The following is a 5562-nucleotide window of genomic DNA, read 5'->3' as shown; positions in this document are numbered from 1 at the left end:
ATGAAAATATTTAGATTGTTCTCTGTTGATGGAATTACATTATTTACAACTCTCACTACTAAAAATAATTCAGCAGTAAACCACTTCCTATTTAACTCCAGGTAAGGTTTTTCCAGTGAGTTTATAAGTATAATTCCTAGATTGAGAGTATACGTAACTTTAAATTTTGCTAGTTTACAGTTTCTTCCAAACTGTTCCCACAGTGGTTAAGCCAATTTATATTCCCAGCAGCAATGATGGGAATTACAGTTTCCCTGCATTTTCACCAATACTTGATATCATTTTTAAACCAATTTTACCAGTAAAATAGTTCTCATTTTATTAGCATTTTTGAATATTAATGAAGTTGAGCATCTTCTCAAATATTTATTACCCATTTCTTTATTTTTACTTTTCTGAATTACCTATTCCTTTGGCAATATTTTATTCAAAGATAGTTTTTGTGGAGTTTAAAAGTTTACATCAAAGATCTCTGAATCCAATAGATTTTTAGCAAAGCAATTTAATATATAAATAATAAGATTATATATATTTAATAATACACGACGTATAATATACACATCAAGTATATTGGTGTGTCTATACATTTGGAAATATAAGTAATGCATATGCATGCATATGTATATATAAACAGGTATATGTATATATAAATATATATATAAATGTGTATATACATGCATATTGGTGTATATATATACACATTCATACATATACAATGCATATGTATATATAAACATGCATACGTATATATAAACCCAGAAGTATAACATACACATGTGCATATGCATGTATAGATAAACACTCCAACTCTTGCAGTATGACTCTTTTAACTTGGCTTTTGGCCTTACTTCTTATAGCCTGTTCTTTTCTCTTTGTTCTTTAGCCAGGACTTAGTTAAGACAGGCAAGTTAGTTTTCATGTATCATTCATGATGGGTCTGTTGAATTAGTCTCAGGGGGTAAGTTGTCAAATGACTACTTTCCGTGGCTGATTTTATATTAGAACAAATGTCCTTATCCTTTTTTATGACATATTCACCTTGAGACTACATCTCTTTTATGTGAACATTCCCTCAGGCATGACAGATAAGTTCAGGAGCTCCCTTAAGACAGCTGGGCTTAAAGTCATATTATTTTGCCTAACCCCTCTTTGTATATTCGCCAGGAGCACACCCTCACTAAGTTTCCATTGGCTTAGTCAGAATTTGTGAATTTAAAATTAAGTCATGGTTGGAATTTCGTTTTTTTTTTAAACAAATGCTGAAAATAAGTCCCCAGTCTCTGCTAGATGGAAGGTTTCGGTTGAGAATTCGGCTGGTAGCCTGATGGGGTTCCTTTTGTTCCCTTTGTATATGATCTGACATTTTTCTCTAGCTGCCTTTAAGATTTTTTTCTTTAGTTTTGACCTTGAACAGTCTGATGACCATATACCTTGGTGCTGTTAATTTTATATAGTATCTCACAGGTGTTCTCTTGATTTCTTGTATCTGAATGTTTACCTCTCTAGCAAGATTAGGAAATTTTCTTGAATTATTCCCTCAAATATGTTTTCCAAGTTATTTACTTTTTCTCCATCTCACTCAGGAATGCCAATAATTTGTAAATTTAGTTATATTATCTAATGTTTCTCAAGGACTTGTTCATTTTTAAAAATTAGTTTCTTTTTTGTTTGTTTGTTTTAATTTTTGTCCAACTGGGTTAGCTCAAAAGACTGGTTTTTAAGCTCTGAAATTCCGTGAAGCATCTTTTTATATGCTCATTGGCCATGCGTACATCTTCTTTGCTGACATGTCTATTCAGGTCTTCTGCAGATTTTGAAAAAATTTCCCTAGTTTTATTGTGATAAAATTACAAATAGTACATATTTAAGGCATAAGGCATATTTAAGGCATTCTGATATATGTACACATTGTGAAGTGATTAACACAATAAAGCTAATTAACAGATTGATCTCCTCAGCTAGTTAGTATTTCTTGTGTGTGGTGAGCACACTTAAGATCTACTCTCTTTGCAAATTTTAAGTATACAACACATTATTTTCAACTATAGTTGCCATGCTATACATTTGATCTCCAGGACATTCATCTTATAACTGGGTTTGTACCCTTTGACCAAAATCCCCCTATTTTTCCCCCACCCTGCCTCTGACAACCACTATTCTAATCTGTTTTCATGAGTTTGACTCTTTAGATTTAACATGTTGTTCCGGGATCTTTGGGGTGTCAGTTTGCTTCCTGGAAACCTCTGTGGCTGGTGGCACCTTTGCCTGAGTTCTTGTCCTGCGTCCAGGGAGAATGAGGCGTGTAGACAAGTGAAGGGTGAAGAAGACGAAAAGGAGCTTTATTTAGTGTTAAAACAGCTCAGAGGAGACTGCAGTGGGTAGCTCCTCTCTACAGGCAGGTCGTCCCATTGAGTGCTCAGCGCTCATAAGAGGAGGAGGCCCTGGAGAGAGTGGCTTCTTTCTGTAGGCAGGTTGGTTGGATATCTCTGCAGGTCTCTGAAGCTCTCAGCAGAGAGGGTGGCTCCTCTGTGCTGTTGGTAGTCCCGTTGTCTGCTGCTATCAGCAGAGAGGAGAGGGTAGCTCCTCTCTGCAGCTCCTCCTCTCATACCATCAGTCATCTCTTTATTCTCTCTGTCCCCTGCCCTGCTCTGGCTGTCCTCCTCTGGTCTGGCTGGTCCAGGCTTTCATGGACTTCCGAGGGGAGGAAGTGCCTGTGGATTTGTCCATTGGCGGCCATTGGTGGGCTGCAAGAGGGTCTATGAATCCCTACTCCAGTCTCTAGGACTGATGGCCCAGCCCCCAGCCTTCAGGCCCTCCCTGGCCTGAAGGTTGGGCCGTACTAGGGACCCACCCTCTTCTGCCCAGGAATCTGCCTGCTTCCCACTGCCATTCATGGCCCCAGGGCTTGGTGTGTGCCCTTAGACCCCGCTCTGGGATGGAGAGGCCCTGGGAGTGGAGAGAGGCCAGGCAGCAGGAGCAGACACCTCAGAGCCTGAAGGGACAGTGGGTTGCCCTTCCCCGCCCCTTGAGGGTGCAGGCTGCAGAGCAGCCCAGGTCCTGCACCTGGGAGGGCAACCGCAGCTGCACCAGGGGAGCTCCTGCCCTGCCAACTCAGAAGGAGCGGGGCTCCAGCTTGTCCCCAGCTCCTGCCTGCCTGCTCTGTGGAGTGGGAGGCCGGGGTCTTCAGCCGCCGGGTCCAGGGGCTGCAGCTACACCTGGGAGGGCGGATATCCTGCCTGAGCCCACCCTCCCCAAGAGCACAGGGAGGCTGGGATCCACAGCCGCAGTTTGGGCAGCTACAGCCCCGCCCAGGAGGGTGGGGCTTCTGCCTGGTCCATGGAGCTGGAGGCCTGGGTCGGCTGCAGCAGCACTCAAGGAGCTCCTACCTTAACTCAGAAGGGGCAGGGCTCCCACCGGCTCCATGGAGTGTGTGGCCCCAGCAGCGCCTCCCTGCTGCAGCCAGCATGAGTGAGATCATGGGGTATGATGGGGTTATTTATCTTTTGGTATCTGCCTTATTTAACTTAACGTAATGTCCTCCAGTTTCATCTACATTGTTATAAATGACAGGATTTCCTTGGGCTGTTCATTTTATCATAGAGTTTTAAGATTTTCTTTATGTATTCTGTAACAGTTCTTTATCAGACATACCTTTTGCAAACAGTTTCTCCTATTCTGTGGCTTGTCTTCTCATTCTGATGACAGTGTCTTTCACAGGGTATTAATTTTAATTGTGATGAAATACAGCTTATCAATATTTTTCTTTTCATGGATTGTGCGCTTTTGTTGTTCTAAAAAGTCATCACTATGCCCCAGGTCATCTCTTATGTTATCTCCTAAAAGGTTGTAATTGTGCATCTTGTATTTAGATTAATGATATTTTTTGAATTATATTTTGAATAATCTGTGTCTAGATACATTTTTAGGCACGTGGATGTCCAGTTGCTCCAGCACCATTTGTGAAAAGACGATCTTTTCCCCACTGTATTTCCTTTGCTCCTTTATAAAATGTCAGTTGACTATAATTATGTAGGTCTTTTCTGGACGCTCTATTTTATTTGATTGATTTGTCTACTCTCTCACCAATACCACAGCGTCTTGAGTACTTTTTGGAGTAAGTCTTGAAATCAGGTATTGTCAGCCTCCAACTTTGTTCTTCTCTTTTAATATTATGTAGGCTATTCTGCATCTTTTGCATCTCCATATAAACTTTAGAATAAGTTTGTCCATATCTGCACAAAATAACTTGCTTGAATTTTGATTGGGATTGTGCTCAATTATAGATTAAGTTGGAAAGAACTGACATCTTGACAATATTTTTTTTCTATCCATTTATTTAGTTCTTCTTTGATTTTTTTCAGTAGGCTTTTGTAGGTTACCAGATAGAGGTTGTACATATTTTTTTAAATGTACACATATATTTCATTTTGGGGGGTGCGAATGTAAATGGTACTGCATTTTTTAAATTTTAATTCCACTTGTTCATTGCTGGTATATAGGAAAGCAATGAACTATTGTATATTAACCTTGTATCTGGCAAATTTCCTATAATCTCTTATTCCAGTTTTTTGTTGTTGTTGTTGATCCTTTCAGATTTTCTGCGCAGATAATCATATCATCTGCAAAGACAGTTTTATTTCTTTTTTCCCAATCTACATATGTTTTATTTTCTTTATTATTTTGTTGCATTAGCTGGGACTTCCAGTGAGATGTTACAAAGGAGAAGTGAGTGGGAACATCCATGCCTTGTTCCTGATCTTAGTGAGAAAGCTTTGATTTTCTCACCATTAACTATGATGCTAGCTAAAATTTCTTTTAGATGTTTTTTACACAGATGAGTGAGTCCTGGTGTATCCCTAGTTTACTGAGAGTTTTTATCATGAATTTTTTTGAGGGGTTTAGTCAAAGGTTTTTTCTACGTCTATTGATACAATCATCTGTTTTTCTTCTTTAGCCTATTGATGGATGGATTTTTATTCTTTAGCCTGTTGAGGTGATGGAACATGTGATTTTCAAAGGTTGAATTGGCCTTGGATACCTGGTTTATGGTGTATAATGTTTTTTAGTAGTTACAGTTTTTTATTTAAATTGGCTTTTTTATAAAAATTCCAACTTTTATATTATATTCAAGGTTAAATGTACAGATGTGCACTTTTGTTACATAGGTAAACATGTGCCTTGATGGTTTGCTGCACAGATCACCCAGGTATTAAGCCTGGCATCTACTAGATATTCTTCCTGATCCTATTCCTCCTACCACTTCCTCCCCTCCAACAGGCCCCAGTGTGTGTGTGTTGTTCCCCCCTCCCCATGTCCATGTGTTCTCGTCATTTAGCTCCCACTTATGAGTGAGAACATATGGTATTTGGTTTCTGTTCTTGCATTAGTTTGCTAAGGATAATAGCCTCCAGCCCCATCCATGTCCCTGCCAAGGACATGATCTTATTCCTTTTTATGGCTGCATAGTATTTCATGGTGTTTATGTACCACATTTTCTTTATCCAGTCTATCGTTGATGGACATTTAGGTTGATTCCATGTCTTTGCTATTGTGAATAGTGCT

The 5562-nt window shown here is 39.5% G+C and overlaps 1 annotated feature.

The window, feature by feature from the left end:
- Positions 2453–2653: a silencer, noted in NCBI's record as "peak5022 fragment used in MPRA reporter construct". NCBI's record gives its function as "represses an SCP1 promoter by STARR-seq MPRAs in K562 erythroleukemia cells {active_cell/tissue: K562}" and the evidence as "EXISTENCE:reporter gene assay evidence [ECO:0000049][PMID:32103011]".

Source organism: Homo sapiens, chromosome 4 (assembly GCF_000001405.40).
Source record: "Homo sapiens chromosome 4, GRCh38.p14 Primary Assembly".
Classification (NCBI taxonomy): Eukaryota; Metazoa; Chordata; class Mammalia; order Primates; family Hominidae; genus Homo; species Homo sapiens.
The sequence above is the reverse complement of the archived record's forward strand: the minus strand, read 5'-3'. Positions and strand labels throughout refer to the sequence as shown.